This window comes from Homo sapiens, chromosome 2 (genome assembly GCF_000001405.40).
Source record: "Homo sapiens chromosome 2, GRCh38.p14 Primary Assembly".
NCBI lineage: Eukaryota > Metazoa > Chordata > Mammalia > Primates > Hominidae > Homo > Homo sapiens.
Window position 1 is genome coordinate 179,041,700 of NC_000002.12, and position 22,037 is coordinate 179,063,736.

The 22,037-nt window shown below is 41.2% G+C and overlaps 1 protein-coding gene across 20 annotated transcripts in view, besides 5 other annotated features; it reads right to left on the minus strand.

Moving 5' to 3' along the window:
• Positions 1-8,438, minus strand: part of CCDC141 (coiled-coil domain containing 141) — a 235,160-nt gene extending 226,722 nt beyond the window's left edge. For all 20 annotated transcript variants that reach the window (XM_047443998.1, XM_047443994.1, XM_047443993.1 and 17 more), the window contains exons 1-2: positions 8,141-8,438; positions 5,585-5,707 (exon numbers count right to left, since the gene is read on the minus strand). In XM_047443998.1, the coding sequence (XP_047299954.1) occupies positions 5,585-5,707; positions 8,141-8,242 (225 nt within the window). In that variant the 5' untranslated portion in view covers positions 8,243-8,438. The remainder of the gene's footprint in view (positions 1-5,584; positions 5,708-8,140) is intronic.
• Positions 7,935-7,984: an enhancer, noted in NCBI's record as "active region_16815". NCBI's record gives its function as "activates an Ori minimal core promoter by ATAC-STARR-seq in GM12878 lymphoblastoid cells {active_cell/tissue: GM12878}" and the evidence as "EXISTENCE:reporter gene assay evidence [ECO:0000049][PMID:35858748]".
• Positions 8,175-8,424: an enhancer, noted in NCBI's record as "active region_16816". NCBI's record gives its function as "activates an Ori minimal core promoter by ATAC-STARR-seq in GM12878 lymphoblastoid cells {active_cell/tissue: GM12878}" and the evidence as "EXISTENCE:reporter gene assay evidence [ECO:0000049][PMID:35858748]".
• Positions 8,435-8,514: an enhancer, noted in NCBI's record as "active region_16817". NCBI's record gives its function as "activates an Ori minimal core promoter by ATAC-STARR-seq in GM12878 lymphoblastoid cells {active_cell/tissue: GM12878}" and the evidence as "EXISTENCE:reporter gene assay evidence [ECO:0000049][PMID:35858748]".
• Positions 16,038-16,642: an enhancer, noted in NCBI's record as "H3K27ac hESC enhancer chr2:179922464-179923068 (GRCh37/hg19 assembly coordinates)". NCBI's record gives its function as "activates a minimal SCP1, AML or CMV promoter by ChIP-STARR-seq in naive H9 embryonic stem cells {active_cell/tissue: H9 hESC(naive)}" and the evidence as "EXISTENCE:reporter gene assay evidence [ECO:0000049][PMID:30033119]".
• Positions 17,260-17,529: an enhancer, noted in NCBI's record as "active region_16818". NCBI's record gives its function as "activates an Ori minimal core promoter by ATAC-STARR-seq in GM12878 lymphoblastoid cells {active_cell/tissue: GM12878}" and the evidence as "EXISTENCE:reporter gene assay evidence [ECO:0000049][PMID:35858748]".

Sequence of the window (22,037 nt, forward strand, 5' to 3'; positions counted from 1 at the left end):
AAATACAGGAATGGAGGAAAATTTGCCAAGCAAATAGAAAACAGAAAAAGCAAGATTTGCATTCCAAGTTTCTGACAAAACAGACTGTAAACCAACAAAGACTAAAAAAGACAAAGAAGAGCATTGCATAAAGGTAAAAATTTCAGTTCAACAAGAAGAGCTGAATATCCTAAATATATATGTACCCAATACAGGAGTACCCAGATTCATAAAGCAAGTTCTTAGAGACCTTCAAAGAGACTTAGATCCCCCACACAATAGTCGTGGGAGACTTTAACACCACACCGACAATATTAGATCATTGACAGAAAATTTAAAAAGATATTCGGCTCAGATCCAGAGCTGAGTACAGCTCTGGATAAGTGGATCTGATAGTCATATACAGAACTGTCCACCCCAAAACAACAGAACATACATTATTCTCATTGCCACATGGCGCTTACTTTAAAATTGATCACATAATTGAAGTAAAACACTCCTCAGCCAATGCAAAAGAAGTGAAATCATAACAGTCTCTCAGACAATAGCACAATCAAATTAGAAGTCAAGATTAAGAAATTCAGTCAAAATCATACAACTAAATGAAAATTGAACAATGTGCCCCAGGATGACTCTTGGGCAAATAATGAAATTAAGGCAGAAATCAATCAAGAAATTCTTTTTTTTGACAGTCTTGCTCCGTCTGTCGCCCAGGCTGGAGTGCAATGGTGCAATCTTGGCTTACTGCAACCTCTGTCTCCTGGGTTCAATAAATTCTCCTGCCTCAGCTTCCCAAGTAGCTGGGATTACAGGCACGCACCACTACACCTGGCTAATTTTTGTATTTTTAATAGAGACAAGGTTTCACCATGTTAGCCAGGCTGGTCTCAAATTCCTGACCTCAGGTGATCCACCCACCTTGGCCTGCCAAAGTGCTGGGATTACAGGCATAAGCCACTGTGCCCAGCCTAAGAAGTTCTTTGAAACTAATGAGAACCAAGACACAATGGACCGGAATCTCTGGGATGCAGCTAAAGCAGTATGAAGTGAGAAATTTATAGCACTAAAATGCCGACATCATAAAGCTAGAAAAATCTCAAGTTAACAACCTAACATCACAACTAAAAGAAAGAATCAAGAGCAAACAACCCACTTAAGCTGGCAGAAGACAAGAAATAACCAAGATCAGAGCTGAACTGAAAGAGATAGAGACACAAAAAAACCTTCAAAAAAATCAATGAATCCTAAAAGCTAGCTTTTTGAAGAAAAATAAAATAAAATATGATAGGCCACTAGCAAGACTAATAAAGAAGAAAAGAGAGAAGCATCAAATAAACACAGTTTGAAATGATAAGGGGGATAGTACAACTGACCCAACAGAAATACAAACAACCATCAGAGAATACTATAAACACCTCTATGCACATAAACTAGAAAATCTAGAAAAAATGAATAAATTCCTGGACACATGTACCCTCCCAAGACTGAACCAGGAAGAAATTGAATCCTTGAATAGGCCAATAATGAGTTCTGAAATTGAGGCAGTAATAAATAGCCTGCCAACCAAAAAAAGCCCAGGACCAGGTGGATTCACAGTTGACTTCTATCAGAGGTATAAAGAAGAGCTGGTACCATTCCTACTGAAACTATTCCAAAAATTGAGGAGGAGGGACTCCTCCCTAACTCATCCTGATGCCAAAACCTGGCAGAGATACAACAAAAAAAGGAAACTCCAGGCCTTGATGAACATTGATGCAAAAATCTTCAACAAAATACTAGTAAACCAAATCCAGCAGCACATCAAAAAGCTTATCCACCACAATCAAATAGGCTTCATTCCCCAGATGCAAATCAATAAATGTGATTCATTACATAAACAGAACTAAAGACAAAAACCACATGATTATCTTAATAGACACACAAAAGGCCTTTGATAAAATTCAACATCCCTTCATGTTAAAAACTCGGAATAAACTAGGTATTGAAGGAACATACCTCAAAATAACAAAAGCCATATATGACAAACCCGCATCCAGTATTATACTGAATGGGCAGAAGCTGGAAGCATTCTCCTCGTATACCAGCACAAGACAAGGATGCCTATTCAACACAGTATTGGAAGTTGTGGCCAGGGCAATCAGGCAAGAGAAACAAATGAATAGGAAGAGAGGAAGTAAAACTATCTTTGCAGATGACATGATCCTACATCTAAGGACATAGGAAAAATCCCACTGTCTCAGCCCAAAAGCTTCTGAAACTAATAAGCTACTTCAGCAAAGTCTCAGGATACAAAATCAACGTGCAAAAACCGCTAGCATTCTTATATACCAACAACAGGCAAGCTGAGACCCAAATCACAAATGAACTCCCATTCACAATTGCCACAAAAAGAATAAAATACCTAGGAATACAACTAACAAGAAAAGTGAAGGACCTCTTTAAGGGGAAGTACAAACCACTGCTCGAAGAAATCAGAGATGACACAAACAAATGGAAGAACATTCCATGCTCGTGGATAGGAAGAATCAATATTGTGAAAATGGCCATGCTGCCCAAAGCAATTTATAGATTCAATACTATTCCCATTAAACTACCATTGACATTCTTCACAGTATTAGAAAAAACTATTTTAAAATTCATATGAAACCAAAGAAGAGCCCGAATAGCCAAGGCAATCCTAAGCAAAAGAATGATGCTGGAGGCATCACTCTACCCAACTTCAAACTATACTACAGGAAAACCCTTTTCTAGCTAAGCTACTGGATGGATTTAGGTATGCAAATTTGAGCACAGGGTAGGAGGCAGGAGCTGAATTGCTGCACCTAAGAAGGCATTTCCCTTCTGTAGTCCTGGATGGAGTAGGGATGAAGGGAGAAGTGAGGTAGCACAAGAGTTCCAAACTGATGTGAGCTCACCCACCACTACCCACAATTTATCAGTGGACTGGGAAATGCTGGCTGGGCATGAATTATTAACAGGAACTGGGGAAAAGATGTGGTTTCAAGCCCAGGTTAGCTTCAGCAGAAACAGTTGGCAGGTGCATACAAAGGAGCTGGGGTCACAGGAGATCATGAGAACGCAAACTTCTGGGAATGGTCAGAAACTTCAAGTAAGTATTACGTTTCTACAGTTCATGGAATTGGGGATTCGTGACAAGTTTACACAGCTTTTTGTGTAGCAGGAAGACCTTGAGTTATTAGCCAAATCACACTAGTTTGTGACATAAGTAGAGCTAAACAATAGGTGTTTTTATTCCTGGCTCATTGCTCTTCCACATCATAATGGGGTTTTTCTTTTTTTTTCTTTCACTTTCATTTTTATTTCATATTTCATTTCTTTTTTATTATTTTACTTTAAGTTTTAGGGTACATGTGCACAATATGCAGGTTAGTTACATATGTATACATGTGCCATGCTGGTGCACTGCACCCACTAACTCGTCATCTAGCATTAGGTATATCTCCCAATGCTATCCCTCCCCCCTCCCCTCGACCCCACAACAGTCCCCAGAGTGTGATGTTCCCCTTCCTGTGTTCATGTGTTCTCATTGTTCAATTCCCACCTATGAGTGAGAATATGTGGTGTTTGGTTTTTCGTTCTTGCCATAGTTTACTGAGAATGATGATTTCCAATTTCATCCATGTCCCTACAAAGGACATGAACTCATCATTTTTTATGGCTGCATAGTATTCCATGGTGTATATGTGCCACATTTTCTTAATCTAGTCTATCATTGTTGGACATTTGGGTTGGCTCCAAGTCTTTGCTATTGTGAATAGAGCTGCAATAAACATACGTGTGCATATGTTTTATAGCAGCATGATTTATAGTCCTTTGGGTATGTACCCAGTAATGGGATGGCTGGGTCAAATGGTATTTCTAGTTCTAGATCCCTGAGGAGTCGCCACGCTGACTTCCACAATGGTTGAACTAGTTTACAGTCCCACCAACAGTGTAAAAGTGTTCCTATTTCTCCACATCCTCTCCAGCACCTGTTGTTTCCTGACTTTTTAATGATTGCCATTCTAACTGGTGTGAGATGGTATCTCATTGTGGTTTTGATTTGCATTTCTCTGATGGCAAAAAGTGGGTGAAGGACATGAACAGACACTTCTCAAAAGAAGACATTTATGCAGCCAAAAAACACATAATGGGGTTTTCCTACATAGAAAAGACTTACCAATAACTAGGGACTTCTGCCTTGCAAGACAACCTAAAACCCAGAGTAAGGAGCTGTCAAACGGGAATAAATTCTGCCTTCTAACAGCCTTCTTCTTTGTACTAATTCTTTCTTCAACTTCTTGGTTTCATTTACTCAGTTACTTTTACCACTGTCCAAGCAGAAAACCACTGTCTATATATCAGATGCAGATCAAATCTGCTTCTAAATCTAGAAAGCAAGTATGAATTTCAGCCTAGATGTACAAAGAAAACAGTAATATTAAAGTACTAAAAATGCAGAGCATCCTAGTCTTTGCAGTTCTCTGAATCCGCATTAAATCTCTTTGAACCTCTTTGATCTTAGTGAAGATATTTCATTTGTCTATGAGCTTATTACTCACAGGGCTGGCTCCCTCAGAGGTTCCTCAGAATGGAACACCATTTAGGGCTTAATGCTGTACCTGTTCCTGTGTTGAAATGCCTTACATTTGTGTTTTGTAAATTAAGTCCAATGGGACAACAGAGCAAGTGCTGAGGGCTTGGCACCTCATCAGACATGTGGTCCTATCTCCTGGATATAAGTCGGCTGTCCTGTCTGCTCCGCAGCCCCACTCAGTGACCGTTGCCACCTCTTATAGCTGGAGCTGTGGCCAAGGTGAAGCTTAAGAAGGGTGGGGTAAAACCCATGTCCTTTGCACTGAGTCATGGATGAGGCCATGTACCTGTGAGGTCTGCACTCATCTTACACATGAAGGAGCCAGACATTAAGTAGTGAATAAAAAACACCATGATGGGTCAAGAAAAAGCTTTTCCTTGCTTTTTGAACAAATGGCCCCAAATTTGTATTTGCCCTGGGTCCCACAGATTATGTAGCTGGCTCTGATCTTACCTGGCCTTTATCTGGCAACCTCAAACCAATGTTACTTTTAGATTTCTAACTAAATACTCTCAACATATATAAAATAGTATGTCTGGTTTTACCAGAAGTATTATTTGGTTTCAAGAACTCTTAATACTAAGCACAGAATCAGATATTTTCAATAGTCCAACGGGGGAAAAGTCTTCTAAATTATTTTTACCAGCAGGTATCATTAACAATAGAAATTGTGGATCTGTTTTTGTGACTTGATGGTGTAATGCATGAAATGAAAAAATGATGGAGTTTTTTTCCCACTGAGGCAGCCAGGAAAAAAAAATTACTCATTTCTCCACAGTGAAAATATTATCCTTCCATAGTTTCTATCACATTAGGGAAAATTTTTAAAAATATTGTTACTTCTCTCTGATGCTGTTTGTTCATAAATAACTACTGATTTTTCCATTATCTACCTGGTACCATATTAAAGTGGCCCTAGGCCAGTAACAGCAGAGGAATCAAGAAGTATAAGAAATAGTTTTTTATGTCTCTTTAATTTTGTTTCTGCTTCACATCTTAGTATCTTACCTTGAGCTTGGCCAAAAGAAGTTCATGATCATGAAGAAGTTTTTTGGTTTCATCTTGACTGCTGCCAATTTCTAGAAGATTGGGCTGTGATTCAGCCAGTTGAAGTTGTACCCATTTGCCACACTAAAAATAAAAATTAAATAAAATGCACTTTTAGTTCCTCTTGTTCCTTCCTCTTCACCCTTCTCATTTTTAATATATCGTTTAAATTTCCAGTTATACTGTAAACACTTTTTTCTATTTTCTATTTTTTTCCATTCTTTCCATAGAGATGGGGTTTACTTAAATTGAAACACAACAGATCTAATATAAATCCATGCCCTGTCTTTTATTTTTTATTCTTAGCATAAATTATTCTCTCTTGGCATATTGGATTTGAGTTAAAAATTCCCAAGTGAGGAAAACATACAATGGATTACGTATTATTGAATATTATAAAGTTACAGAATAATTTACACAACTGTATCCTCTCTCACTCACAAAACTGAACTCAATAAAAATAGTGAAATTCCACTTGGGCAGGTAGGATGCAAATTTCACCATGGGGAAAGTTCTTGTAAATGCAATTTAGGCTGATTAGTGTCTTTACATTGGCCTTGCTGGTTTAGCTGAAAATAATAAATATCAGATGAAGAAATTGATTTTTATCTTATTTCAAAGGTAAAATATGCTGTTTTCCAACCTTAGTTGTTGAATATTCATTAAAGCGTGTAGGAAAATATTAACAAAATTAGATGCCTGTGACAACTGCCATTTGAGCACAGTCAACTTGCTTTCCACACAAGATTTACACTGCTCTAAGATATAATTTGTCATTGCATTTCCTGAGGAATTGCTTTTCTAAGAAGCAACAACTCATTAAGCAAAATGAACCACTAACACGCATACGCATGTAGATACCTGAATTACTAAAGAGAAATTAGAAAAATGTATTTCTATTTTAGAATATATTCAGTCCCCTGAGACAGTTTGGACAGTCACTATAAATCACACACAGGCACTTCCATTCCATTAAGGTGGACTTTATACTCTGAATTGCTTGGGGTGTATTTTGTATGGAGATGGCAGTAAGGTAAGAGGGCTGAGGAGAGGGTAGTGGGGGAACATTCTTAGAAACACAATTCAGTTAAAATAAGAGTTTCCAGTGTAATTTTCCAGTGTAATTTCCAGTGTAATTTTTTTGTGTTCAATCTACCTCTGATTCTTCTGTAATTTATCCTCTAATATTATTCCTCATCCTGCTCCAAGAATGTTCATATTTGAGGAAATGGAAAGTTAACTTTTTGAAAAATAGTGAGTTTGCCTCTTTTCCCTCATTGCTGAAATCTGCAGTTAACTCAAAGTATCATTAATCCCGTGCAAATGATCTGTTTGCCCTACTTCTGCATCAGGCTTCTTTTCATCTCCTCTCTGGGACTCTGAAAAGATGGGAGGGTGAGGAAGTCAGCAGAGGCCTGGTTCCTGTGGGAGAGAAGTCTCACAACACCAGAAAATCCACCTCGGCAGGAATACTTTCCATTCTGTCCTTCTATAGTGAACTGTTTTGCTCAGTATCAAGTGCTCTTTTCCTGGTATGAATTTTCACATTACCATAAAATTCACAGCAATTAAGTTAAAGTAAACATGGCTTGCTGTCCATGCTCTAACAAAAGGCCAGAAAAGTCATTCAATTAAACCTGGTGGGGACCTGAAAGTAACTGGTTTGTGACCATCAGCTTGTTTGCCAGCTTTCCCTTCATTAAACACTGAATTATTTAGGTGGAATATCATCTAAAGCCCAAGCCTAGTGCTTGAAAGCTTTTTTTTACAGGGCATTTCCATGGAGAATAAAATCATGGAGTTCTTCTTCAGCCTAAAGATGTGTGGTCATCTTTGCAAATGGGCAAATGGGTTGTCATAAAACATGCAGTAATTGTAAACCCTAAGTGGCTTCTACTTCCTGCTGTTAAGAGCAAATTTGACACAAAGCTTTTGTACCTTTCCTTGCATGGTCTTCGTTACTGGACAAGGATTTAGTAGTTTCTTTACCATGTCAAAACCAGTGTGGCAAAGGGCACATGTCGGAGCCCTTTACTTGGTGTTTTCTGAGTTCCATCGTGCTTAAAGCAGTGCCCTCCCCCTGTCTGTCGGGACCTGCCTCCTCCCACCTCCATCACATCCACTCTCAAAAATCACAAGCATTCCACAGGTCCATTGGACTCTTTAGTCAGGCAATCATGAACTTCCAGTTACCAATGCCTTGCTTTTAAAGACCAAATTGACAGTATATGCTAGAGGTTTTCTTTTCTTTATTTTTCTTTCTTTTCTTTTTTTTTTTTTTTTTAAATCAAGCTGCTATAGATGCTTTCTGGCTGACTGAAAGGAAAGAGAATCTCTGGTAACTGCTGAAACTTGTAGAGGTTTCTCTTAGTAGCCCATTTTAGAAAGCAGTAAGAGTGCTTGCTGCGTTGTCTTCTCTATGCTGTGTCCTGCCGATTGCATGGAATGTTCTTTAGGGTTTTCAACACACAGCTAGAAGCCCACAGCCGCACAGAAAAAAGGAAGTTGTTAGCTTACCTTTATGACAGCTATAACGATTTTGGAGTCCCCAGCCTGCACAGCAACTGAACTGACTGTCGTCGTAGAAAGCGCAACACTAGGACTTCCTTGGCTGGACATGGTACTTTAGAACCAGAGTTTATACTTTGGGCAGCCTCTGGACAGTTGTGTGTCTGCTGGTCATTTCAGAAGGCCAGGGTTACTTGGATTCATTCAGGGAAAGAGCTCAGCTCACACTGATTACTCTGCCAAAAGGAAAGAACAGGAGGTTAAAAATAGACAACCCCATTGAGTTTATCGTGAGAGAGAAAGGAGCGAACGAGAGAGAATTGCCACGCCCCTAGTATGGTGACACTAAGTGCCTGTTATTTTTGCTGTTATCTTAAATGTGGAGGACAGCTTCAAGCTCTTTCCTTATCAGCTGATGTTTGATAACAAATGGAAAAAAAAATTACATCCTGACAACCCAAATTAGTTTTGCCACCGAAACTATGCCATTGTAACCATGGACTTTGAAACAAGTAAGTCTTTGACCTGGTTATCAATCTTTTCAAGATTTTTGAAATCTCTCTGATGCAAAGAGAACTACCAAAGTGTACTTTAAAAAAGTTTTGGTATTTGTCTTGGGGTTAAGTCACAAATTGCTTAAAACACATTTTTAGATTAATCTGCTTTTCTAAAACTTACTGTTCTTTGCTAAATGAAGTTTAGATGGAATAGCCACATTTTCTCAGAGCCTCAGATTTCTTAGGAATTTTTAAAAAATATTTCAACCAGCATTTATAAATAGGTGCCTATCATTTCAGATTTTCTTTGTGACTATTCTGCTCCATTGGACAAGGTTTTCAAGTTCAGTTATTAATACCATGAGAAAGCAAAATACTTTGCTGTTACCTTTTAATTGCAGCAAGAAAATGTTTTCTGTGTGGTTAAAAGTTATTAAGACATATATTTTGCTGCAATTAAAAACAAAAACAAAAAGGAAAGTACTGTGCTTCAGGCTTTTTATTCCCTACCCCCACCTCCTGTTCAGGAAAATTATAGCCAGCTTCAAATCAGTGCCCCACATTGGTAGATTAATCCTATTGCTAGAAACTCAGCCTGTGTCACAAGTTGTCTGTGGTATTAAACAGCAGCTGTTGGATTCCCTGTCAAAGAACAGCTGAAAATAACACTAAAGTTTAGGTCAGAAGTCAGATGCAAACATATCAGAGTTACTAACTCCAAAGCTGCTGGAAGCATTGGAAATCTCTGGGACAAAGCCACAACAGAGAATATAGCAAAAAACAGTTTTAATGAATCCACTTGCTCTGTAAACCTTTTAGCCCAATTTAATAGTAGGTTCAGGTTCAGGGCCAATGTTTAGAAGACTGAGTCAGCTCCATTGCTTTGTTTTGCTAAGGTTCATGATCATATTCTTGATTCAAAGGGGAAAAGTACTTTTACACATACTTCAGTGTTCAATTATTTTTGTTTCCAAGAGCATGTCATGGCTGCTCTGCAGCTGTGTAGCCACCACCCATGTCCTCTGCGCTCAGCATCTGCCTGCTGCCCCAGTGAGATGGAAACCATACCTAGATCCTAGTCCCTATGCAACACGAACTTCACCTGACCCCATGAAGGGAACAATTGGAGCGAGCTCAGGAAAGCAGATGCCGAGCAAGCTATGATGTAGCAACTATTGCAAATGGTTTCATTTTATGGCAGGGCTGGAGAGCTTGCAAAGAGGTAACTGACCTGGAAGGTTGCAGGCAGGCTCCTTCTTTCACTTGCATCTGTGTGAAGAGACCACCAAACAGGCTTTGTGTGAGCAATAAAGCTGTTTATTTCACCTGGGTGCAGGTGGGCTGAGTCTGAGAAGAGAGTCAGCGAAAGGAGATAGGGGTGGGGCCGTTTTATGGGATTTGGGTAAGTAAAGGAAAAAGGGGGGTTGTTCTCTGGCAGGCAGGAGTGGGGGGGTCACAAGGTGCTCAGTAGGGGAGCTTTTGAGCCAGGATGAGCCAGGAGAAGGAATTTCACAAGATAATGCCATCAGTTAAGGCAGGAACAGGCTATTTTCATTTCTTTTGTGGTGGAATGTCATCAGTTAAGGCAGGAACTGGCCATCTGGATGTGTACACAGGTCACAGGGGATATGATGGCTTAGCTTGGGCTCAGAGGCCTGACATTCCTTTCTTATATTAATAAGAAAAATAAAACGAAATAGTGGTAAAGTGTTGGGACGGTGAAAATTTTGGGGGATGGTATGGAGAGATGATGGGGGATGTTTCTCAGGGCTGCTTCGAGCGGGATTAGGGGCGTCATGAGAACTTAGAGTGGGAGGGATTAAGCTGAAGGAAGACTTTGTGGTAAGGGGTGACATTATGGGACTGTTAGAAGAAACATTTGTCATTTAGAATTATTGGTGATGGCCTGGATACAGTTTTATATGAATTGAGAAACTAAATGGAATAAGAGAGGGAGAAAAACAGGTATTAAAGGTCTAAGAATTGGGAGGACCTAGGACATCTGATTAGAGAGTGCCTAAGGAGATTCAGCATAGTCCTGCCGGCAAAGATTATTTATTTACTTCAAGAGTTAAGAGTGGCAGTTTGGGGATAGCACCAGGAGATATCAGCTGTGATGGCTTGGAGAAACAATGTAAACCAGCAGTGTAAACAAGAGCAGAGCATGTATAAGTAGTTGAGAATGGTGAATAGGAGTATGACTAGACAGAAGATAGTAGGGATGACAAGATTTTGGGGGCAAAATCTAAGTTGGTCTGGTGTCTGGAATGAGACTGGGGCTAAATAAAAAGGAGCGTCCACACAGGAGCTCAAATGGGCTGTACCTTGTAGCATTCCGAGGACAGGCCTGAATTCTGAGAAAAGAAAGAGGTAAAAGTATTGTCCAGTCCTTTTTAAGTTGGTGGCTGAGCTTAGTGAAGTGTGTTTTTAAAAGACCATTAGTCCGTTCTACTTTTCCTGAAGACTGAGGACTGTAAGGGATATAAAAGTTTCACTGAATACCAAGAGCCTGAAAAACTGCTTGGCTGATTTGACTAATAAAGGCCAGTCTACTATCGGACTGCGTAGAGGTGGGAAGGCCAAACCGAGTAATTGTGTCTGACAGAAGGGAAGAAATGACCGTGGTGGCCTTCTTAGACCCTGTGGGAAAGGTATCTTCCTATCAAGTGAAAGTGTCTACATAGACCAAGAGGTATTTTAGTTTCCTGACTTGGGGCATGTTAAGTAAAGCTAATTTGCTAGTCCTGGGTGGGGGCAAATCTCTGAGCTTGATGTTTAGGGAAGGGAAGGGGCCTGAATAATCCGAGAAGTAGTAGAATAGCAGATGGAACACTGAGATGTTATTTCCTTGAGGATAGATTTCCACGATGGAAAGGAAATGAGAGGTTCTAAGAGGCGGACTAGTGGCTTGTAATATAGGATAGCCTGCCTTTGCTGGTGTGTGGTGATTAGGCCTGGTGGAACTGCCATCAATAAACCAAGTGCGATCAGGGTGAGAAACAGGGAAGAAGGAAATGAGGGGAAATGGGGTGAACATCAGGTGGATCAGAGAGATTCAGTCATGAAGGTCAGGTGTGGTATCAGGAATAATGTGGGAGGCTGGATTGAAGTCCGGGCCATGAACAATGGTAATTGTGGGAGACTCAACAAAGAGTGAGTACAACTGAAGGAGCCGGGGAGCAGAAAGTATATGCATCAGGTGTGAGGAAGAAAATAGATTTTGGAAATTATGAGAGCTGTAGAGAGTGAGTTGAGAATAGTTTGTGATTATAAGGACCTCTAAAAGTATTAGGGTGGCAGCAGCTGCTGCACGGAGACATGATGGCCATCCTAAAACAGTAAGGTCAAGTTGTTTGGACAAAAAGCCTACAGGATGCGATCCCAGTCCTTGTGTAAGAATTCCAACTGCACAGCCCTGCACTTCTGCTGTGTGTAATGAAAAGGGTTGGGATGAGTCAGCAAGAGCTAGGGTGGGGGCAGTCTCTAAAGCTGTCTTCAAGGAATGGAAAGAGGAGTGGAGAAAGGATTTAGGATCTATGGGGTCAGCTAGGTTTCCTTTTGTGAGTTTATATAACGGTTTTGTTAGGATGGCAAAACCAGGTATCCAAAGGTGAAAGTATCCAACTATGCCTAGGAAGGAAAGGAGTTGTTTTGTAGAAGGGATTGGGGTTTGGGAGATTAGCCGGACACTACCAGCAGGGAGAGCACATGTGTTTTTATGAGAATTATGCTGAGATAGGTAACAGATGAGGAAGAAATTTGGGCTTGACTGAAGTAATGGGATCTGTCTGTGCAGCTTTGCGGCAGTACAGCCCAGGTAATTTGCTGAGCTTGATGGGTGTCAGGGTCAGTCCAGGTGAAAGCAAAGAGAGGCTGGGATGAAGGGTGCAAAGGAAGAGTAAAGAAAGCATGTTTGAGATCCAGAACAGAATAATGGATTGTGGAGGGAGCTATTGAGGATAGGAGAGTATATGGGTTTGGCACCGTGGGGTGGATAGGCAAAACAATTTGGTTGATAAGGCATAGATCCCGAACTAACTTGTAAGGATCATCTGGTTTTAGGACAGGTAAAATGGAATTGTAAGGAGAGTTTATAGGTTTTAAAAGGCCATGCTGTAGCAGGCGAGTGATAACAGGCTTTAATCCTTTCAAAGCATGGTGTGGGATGGGATATTGGCATTGAGCGGGTAAGGGTGATTAGGTTTTAATGAGATGGTAAGTGGTGCATGATCGGTCACCAAGGAGGGAGTAAAGGTATCTTATACTTGTGGGTTAAGGTGGGGGGATACAAGAAGAGGACCCAAAGGAGGCTTTGGATTGGGAAGAAGGGTGGCAATGAGATGTAGCTGTAGTCCAGGAATAGTCAGGGAAGCAGATAATTTAGTTAAAGTGTCTCGGCCTAATAAGGGAACTGGGCTGGTGGGGATAACTAAAAAGGAGTGCTTAAAAGAGTATTGTCTAAGTTGGCACCAGAGTTGGGGAGTTTCAAGAGGTTTAGGAAGCCTGGCTGTCAATACCTACCAGTTATGGAGGCAAGGGAAACAGGCCCTTGAAAAGAAGGTAATGTGGAGTGGGTAGCCTCCGTATTAAGAAGGGGATGGACTTACCCTCCACTGTGAGAGTTACATAAAGCCTGGCGTCCGTGATGTTCTACGGGGCTTCCGAGGAGATCGGACAGCATCAGTCTTCAGCCGCTAAGCTGAGAAGATCTGGGAAGGAGTCAGTCAGAGAGCCTTGGGCCAGAGTTCCAGGGGCTCTGGGAGTGACTGCCAGGTGAGTTGAACAGTCCGATTTCCAGTGGGGTCCTTCACAGATGGGACACGGCTTAGGAGGAATCCTGGGCTGCGGGCATTCCTTGGCCTGGTGGCCAGATTTCTGGCACTTGTAGCAAGCTCCTGGGGGAGGCGGTTCTGGAGGAACCCCTGGCCACTGTGGTTTTGATGTTTGGAAGTTCTTGTGTGCTGGAGATGTGGCTGGGGTTTGTCTCGCAGTGGAGACAAGGAATTGCAATTCAGAAATGTTGCTACTTGGCTGCCTCTATTATTGTACACCTTGAAGGCGAGGTTAATTAAGTCCTGTTGTGGGGTTTGAGGGCTGGAATTTAGTTTTTGGAGTTTTATTTAATGTCGGGAGCAGATTGGGTAATAAAATGTATATTGAGAATAAGACGGCCTTTTGACCTTTTAGGGTCTAGGGCTGTAAAGCGTCTCAGGGTTGCTGCCAAACGAGCCATGAACTGGGCTGGATTTTTATATTTGATGAAAAAGAGCCTAAACGCTATCTGATTTGAGATAAAGAGAAAGGAGCATTAACCTTGACTATGCCTTTAGCTCCAGCCACCTTTTTAAGAGTAAATTGCTGGGCAGGTGGGGGAGGGCTAGTCACGGAATGAAACTGTAAGCCGGACCAGGTGTGAGGAGGGGAGATGATAAAAGATTTATAGGGTGGAGGAGCGGAGGCTGAGGAAGAATTAGGACCTAGCTCGGCCTGGCGAGGAGGGGAGAGGTCAGATGGGTCTGTAGAAAAGGAAGATTAGAAAGACTCAGCGACGCTTGGGGTTGGGACTGAGGAGACTGGTGGGAGGGAAAGAAGGAAGATTTGGGGTGAGTTGCATTGGGAACAGAGACTAGGGGGAGGGACCGATGTGTAAAAGAATGCCTGGGCGTTAGGCACCTCAGACCATTTGCCTATTTTACGACAAGAATTATTTAGATCTTGTAGGATGGAAAAATTGAAAGTGCTGTTTTCTGGCTATTTGGAACTACTGTCGAGTTTGTATTGGGGTCAAGCGGCATTGCAGAAGAAAATAAGACACTTAGATTTTAGGTCAGGTGAGAGTTGAAGAGGTTTTAAGTTCTTAAAAACACAGGCTAAGGGAGAAGAAGGAGGAATGGAAGGTGGAAGCTTGCCCATAGTGAAGGAGGCAAGCCCAGAGAAAAGAGTAGAGACACGGAGAAGGGGTGGGGGGTTCTTGCCTTCCAGAAAAGCAGAGAAGGGGTTGGGGTGTGGAAATAAGGGGTTGGGGCACAGAGATAAAAAGGCGGGGCATAGAAATAAGGGATGGGGCACAGAGATAAGAGGTCGGGGCGCAGAGATAAGAGGTCAGTGTTCCTACCCCTCCTCCAGAAAAGCGGGACTTGTTGCTAAGGGTTGAAGGACTAAGGCAGGCGTCCTTGTGTGGTCTGACACCTCTGAAACCTGGGTGAATAATCAGAGAGGCGGCATCCCTGCAATGATTAAACACCAAGGGAAGGCTGCCTTCCCTAGTCCATGACCGGCGCCAGAGTTTTGGGTCGGTCCACAGATAAAACGTGTCTCCTTTGTCCCTACCAGAAAATGAAAGGAATTGAAATTAAGAGAAGGGACAGATTGAAGCGTGGCACGAAGATTGAAAGGAGAAAGAGGTTGAGGGATAGAGAGAGAGGTTGGAGAAGAGAGTGAAAAGAGGCCGCTTACCGGATTTAAAATTGGTGAGATGTTCCTTGGGCTGGTTGGTCTGAGGACCAGAGGTCGTAGATGGATCTTTCTCACGGAGCAAAGAGCAGGAGGACAGGGGATTGATCTCCCAAAGGAGGTCCCCCTATCCGAGTCATGGCACCAAATTTCACTTGCATCCGTGTGAAGAGACCACCAAACAGGCTTTGTGTGAGCAATAAAGCTGTTTATTTCACCTGGGTGCAGGTGGGCTGAGTCCGAAAAGAGTCAATGAAGGGAGATGGGGTGGGGCCGTTTTATAGGATTTGGGTAGGTAAAGGAAAAAGGGGGGGTTCTCTGGCAGGCAGGAGTGGGGGTCACAAGGTGCTCAGTAGGGGAGCTTTTGAGTCAGGATGAGCCAGGAGAAGGAATTTCACAAGATGATGCCATCAGTTAAGGCAGGAACAGGCTATTTTCTTTTGTGGTGGAATGTCATTAGTTAAGGCAGGAACTGGCCATCTGGATATGTATGTGCAGGTCACAGGGGATGTGATAGCTTAGCTTAGGCTCAGAGGTCTGACACCTTCCACTTGAGCAAATAGTTGGTCCAAACAAACCAAAACGAACTGATCACAACTAGTTTTTAGCTAATTGTCCTCAAGAAAGGCAAGAGTTGACACTTGCGTCTCAGAATATCTATACTGTAAACTAAAATGCCCAAGGAGCATAGCTTGTCATAGTGTACTTTGCCAACTGGAATGGCAAATAGTGACTTGCACTCAAAATACTCAGTGCAGGCCAGGCATGGTGGCTCACACCTGTAATTTCAGCGCTTTGGGAGGCCAGGCAGGAAGATTCCTTGAGCCAGGAGTCCAGAAAATTTAAAAATCAACCAGGTGTGATGACATGCCCCTTTAGTCCCAGCTACTTGGGAGGCTGAGGCAGGACAATCCCTTTGTTACCAGAAGGAAGGCCAAGTGTGAGTTGTCCAGGTCCTTGGCATTTTGAACAAAGAATTGAACAAAACGCACAAAGTAACAAAGGAATGAAACACAGGAACGAAGCAGCAAAAGCAGGGATTAAAGCAAGAAAGCATTCCACAGTGTGGGAGTGGGCCCACCCTGAATAAGGACCCAGTGACAACGTTTTCTGGGTTTTAAGTACTCCTTTTGAGGTCCCTAGCGGCTGCCCCTTATCTGAATGAAGGATTTTGTCTGTGGCTAGTTAAGGGCTGATGTGAATTGGCGCCCTATGAAGATGAAGTGATGGCCCACACTTGGCCCAAATCCAAGGCACTCTCCCTTTCCATCTGAGCCCTGGGGAAGGGGGAGGGTTGCAGGGAGAGTAGCCTTTGATCCTTTGCTACTTGGTGTGAGGAGATGGGGTCTTTCCTTTTGGTTTAGCTTTTGGAAGTTGGTGTTGATTGGCCTTAGGCTCCCTGCCCCCAGGCCCAGGTGTTTTCGTTTTGATCCAGCTTTGGACAGTCAGCATGAATTGGCCTTAGATTCCCTATCCCCAGACCTTTGTGTTCTTCCTTGATTTAGCTTTAGGAAATCAGCACAAATTGGCCTCAGATTCCCTGCCCCCAGACCTTGATGTTTTTCCTTGGTACAGCTTTAGGAAGTCAGCACGAATTGGCCTTAAGTGCCCTGCCTCCAGATCCTATTCTCCTACCTCACCTTGAGCCCAGAAGTTGGAGGCTGCAGTGAGCTATGATAGCATTACTGTACTCCAGCCTGTATGACACAGTGAGGCCTGTCTCAAAAAAAAAAAAAAAAAAAAAAAAAAAAACAAAAAAAACAACTCAATGCACTTTCACCTAAAATTAATGCTATTTCTAGAAACTCAGTGTGTGTCCCAAGTTGCATAAAGGCCATCAGGTGGGAAAGGGTTTTGGCAGCAGGCTGCAAAGACCACAGGCTAAGAATGGCTCTGTCCACAAAGCCCTAGTTAAGATGGATGATTGTGTAAGGGGCGTGGAAGGTAGCATGGAATGTCTGGAATTGCAGGCCCAGGCAGAGGGAAAAGGAAAAGGGAGATGAAGAGGAGAGAACACATGGCTGGAAGTCTGGTTAATTCCAAGGCTTAAGGGCAAAGGGAATTAGAAAAATATAATACTTTGTTAAAAGATTAACCCAGCTATTCAGCAACAAAAGTAGTGCCTTTCTCTGTGTGTGAGTATGACCTTTCTTTCTGTTAATTAGATGGAGCAGGTCCAGGCTGTTGCACAAAAGAAGTGTTTTCTATGTTTGCAATAATGCAAACTGTGTACATGAATTTAACTGGCTTCTGTTTTATTTTAAATTTAAACTCTTGACTTTAAAATCTTCAAAGGACTTGAATCATGTTTTTCTCCTCTGTTCTTGCTTTCTGTTCCTCTTTTCTTTCCTCCTAAACTTTTTAGTCCTTCCCTCTACAGAAGCCCTGTGGCTCAGACCTCTCCATCCACATCTAGCTTATTTAGAACTTTGGCCTTGTTGTCTTCATCTAGAATAATATTTAATTATAAGTTGCACCATTAACTCATATAAACAGCTTGAAGAATAGTTAGCGTGGAATATATTGTACTAATGATATTGGTACACTATACTTAGCTGGATTTTTTAATGTTAAAGAACTGAAAGCTTCTTGAGTTACAGTTTATTTACACTCTGCCTCCCCTATTATCACCAAAAAAAAACCCAAAACAAAGCAAAACAAAAACCTTCCAGGCATTCTCATACCTTTGAAATTTATAGAGGATCTTGCAGAGGCTATTATGCCTTCTCTGTTTATCCCTCTGGGAAATGCCTTTTTTAATACCAACTGAGTTTTAGTGAAATAGCCTCCATGGGGAATCATAAAGCTATAACTGGATTCTGTAGAGTCACAAATAGCACATTTTTAATGAAATAGTAGACTGAAAACTTTTTCATGTGATTATTTTTAACTCCATCAATGGTGACGCCATTAAAATAACACATTTTCTTTGCTGGAGTATATGTGGGGTCTGCTCATTTTTATGTAAGATCTTAGGTGTTTGTCTTCATCAATAGTATTATCGGTTAAACTATATTCAACTTTATAAAGACAAATTAGATAGACCTTGTATAGATAACCCAGAATTAGTCTATTTGTCCAAATTAAAAATTCAAGGCAAATTATCATAAGTGAAGCAAGTCAGACACAGAAAGCCACTTATACGCAGGAGCTAAATAATATGTACACATGGACATAGGGAGTGGAATGATAGACAACGAAAATTTGTATAGGTGAGGGGGGTGGGAGTGGGTAGATGATGAGAGATTACTTAACGGGTACAATGTATTTTATTTGGGTGATGGATATCCTAAAAGCCCTGACATTACCATTACACAATGTATGCATTTAAAAAAATTACACTTGTACCCCATAAATTTATACACATAAAAAGAAAATAATTTTTTTTAATTCAAGGCAAATCTTTCTCTGCTGTTATCACTAATTTAGTAATAATGGCTACTAATTAGTGACTGCTTAATACAGGCCAGGAACTGGGATAAGTGCTTTACACTCTTTATCCCATTTAATCTACATAATACAGCTGGAAAAAAATATTTCTTTAATTTTATAAAGGATACACACATACATGCACACACATATTCACACACAGTGATTCACTAATTCCAGTCACCTCTGGTTCAACTTCTTCTGCCTAGGTTTCAAACCTATCTATGGCTGGCCTCTCCCTATCTGCCCAGTCATGTATACCATTATTCCCAGACCCCAAAGGTCATTCTTGTTCTCCACCTAAATTCAGTTGTTCTATCCAGGAATATCATTCCCCTCTTCCCTTCATCTATCCAAATTCCTCCCATCTTTTGAGGCCAAGATGAAGTATCAACTTTTTTAAAAATTTGAAATATCTACCTATATTCTTCCTGTCAAGCACATCCGTGTGAAGAGACCACCAAACAGGCTTTGTGTGAGCAATAAAGCTTTTTAATCACCTGGGTGCAGGTGGACTGAGTCCAAAAAGAGAGTCAGCAAAGAGTGGTGGGATTATCATTAGTTCTTATAGGTTTGGGATAGGTGGTGGAGTTAGGAGCAATTTTTTGCAGGCAGGTGGTGGATCTTACAAAGTACATTCTCAAGGGTGGGGTGAATATTACAAAGTACCTTCTCAAGGGTGGGGAGGGTGGACCATACCAAGTACATTCACGGGAGGTCAGGGGAATATCACAAACTACATTATCCCAAGGGCGGGGAGGGTGTATTGTCACAAAGTCAATTGATCAGTTAGGATGGGGCAGGAACAAATCACAATGGTGGAATGTCATCAGTTAAGGTGGGAACTGGCTATTTTCACTTCTTTTCTGGATGTTCAGTTGCTTCAGGCCACCTGGATATATACCTGCAGGTCACAGGGGTATGATGGCTTAGCTCGGGCTCAGAGGCCTGACACTTCTTTCTTTTTTTATTTTATTTTATTATTATTATACTTTAAGTTTTAGGGTACATCTGTACAATGTGCAGGTTAGTTACATATGTATACATGTGCCATGCTGGTGTGCTGCACCCATTAACTCGTCATTTAGCATTAGGTATATCTCCTAATGCTATCCCTCCCCGCTCCCCGCAGCCCACAACAGTCCCCAGAGTGTGATGTTCCCCTTCCTGTGTCCATGTGATCTCACTGTTCAATTCCCACCTATGAGTGAGAATATACGGTGTTTGGTTTTTTGTTCTTGCGATAGTTTACTGAGAATGATGATTTCCAATTCCATACATGTCCCTACAAAGGACATGAACTCATCATTTTTTATTGCTGCATAGTATTCCATGGTGTATATGTGCCACATTTTCTTAATCCAGTCTATCATTGTTGGACATTTGGGTTGGTTCCAAGTCTTTGCTATTGTGAATAGAGCTGCAATAAACATACCTGTGCATGTGTCTTTATAGCAGCATGATTTATAATCCTTTGGGTATATATCCAGTAATGGGATGGCTGGGTCAAATGGTATTTCTAGTTCTAGATCCCTGAGGAATCTCCACACTGACTTCCACAATGGTTGAACTAGTTTACAGTCCCACCAACAGTGTAAAAGTGTTCCTATTTCTCCACATCCTCTCCAGCACCTGTTGTTTCCTGACTTTTTAATGATTGCCATTCTAACTGGTGTGAGATGGTATCTCATTGTGGTTTTGACTTGCATTTCTCTGATGGCCAGTGATGGTGAGCATTTTTTCATGTGTTTTTTGGCTGCATAAATGTCTTCTTTTGAGAAGTGTCTGTTCATGTCCTTCGCCCACTTTTTGATGGGGTTGTTTGTTTTTTTCTTGTAAATTTGTTTGAGTTCATTGTAGATTCTGGATATTAGCCCTTTGTCAGATGAGTAGGTTGCGAAAATTTTCTCCCATTTTGTAGGTTGCCTGTTCACTCTGATGGTAGTTTCTTTTGCTGTGCAGAAGCTCTTTAGTTTAATTAGATCCCATTTGTCAATTTTGGCTTTTGTTGCCATTGCTTTTGGTGTTTTAGACATGAAGTCCTTGCCCATGCCTATGTCCTGAATGGTAAAGCCTAGGTTTTCTTCTAGGGTTTTTATGGTTTTAGGTCTAACATTTAAGTCTTTAATCCATCTTGAATTAATTTTTGTATAAGGTATAAGGAAGGGATCCAGTTTCAGCTTTCTACATATGGCTAGCCAGTTTTCCCAGCACCATTTATTAAATAGTGAATCCTTTCCCCATTGCTTGTTTTTGTCAGGTTTGTCAAAGATCAGATAGTTGTAGATACACGGTGTTATTTCTGAGGGCTCTGTTCTGTTCCATTGATCTATATCTCTGTTTTGGTACCAGTACCATGCTGTTTTGGTTACTGTAGACTTGTAGTATAGTTTGAAGTCAGGTAGCGTGATGCCTCCAGTGTTGTTCTTTTGGCTTAGGATTGACTTGCTGATGCGGGCTCTTTTTTGGTTCCATATGAACTTTAAAGTAGTTTTTTCCAATTCTGTGAAGAAAGTCATTAGTAGCTTGATGGGGATGGCATTGAATCTATAAATTACCTTGGGCAGTATGGCCATTTTCACGATATTGATTCTTCCTACCCATGAGCATGGAATGTTCTTCCATTTGTTTGTATCCTCTTTTATTTCATTGAGCAGTGGTTTGTAGTTCTCCTTGAAGAGGTCCTTCACATCCCTTGTAAGTTGGATTCCTAGATACTTTATTCTCTTTGAAGCAATTGTGAATGGGAGTTCACTCATGATTTGGCTCTCTGTTTGTTATTGGTGTATAAGAATGCTTGTGATTTTTGTACATTGATTTTGTATCCTGAGACTTTGCTGAAGTTGCTTATCACCTTAAGGAGATTTTGGGCTGAGACAATGGGGTTTTCTAGATATACAATCATGTCATCTGCAAACAGGGACAATTTGACTTCCTCTTTTCCTAACTGAATACCCTTTATTTCCTTTTCCTGCCTGGTTGCCCTGGCCAGGACTTCCAACACTATGTTGAATAGGAGTGGTGAGAGAGGGCATCCCTGTCTTGTGCCAGTTTTCAAAGGGAATGCTTCCAGTTTTTGCCCATTCAGTATGATATTGGCTGTGGGTTTGTCATAGATAGCTCTTATTATTTTGAGATACGTCCCATTAATACCTAATTTATTGAGAGTTTTTAGCATGAAGCGTTGTTGAATTTTGTCAAAGGCTTTTCTGCATCTATTGAGATAATCGTGGTTTTTGTCTTTGGTTCTGTTTATATGCTGGATTACATTTATTCATTTGCGTATATTGAACCAGCCTTGCATCCAAGGGATGAAGCCCACTTGATCATGGTGGATAAGCTTTTTGATGTGCTGCTGGATTCGGTTTGCCAGTATTTTATTGAGGATTTTTGCATCAATGTTCATCAAGGATATTGGTCTAAAATTCTCTTTTTTGGTTGTGTCACTGCCAGCCTTTGGTATCAGGATGATGCTGGCCTCATAAAATGAGTTAGGGAGGATTCCCTCTTTTTCTATTGATTGGAAT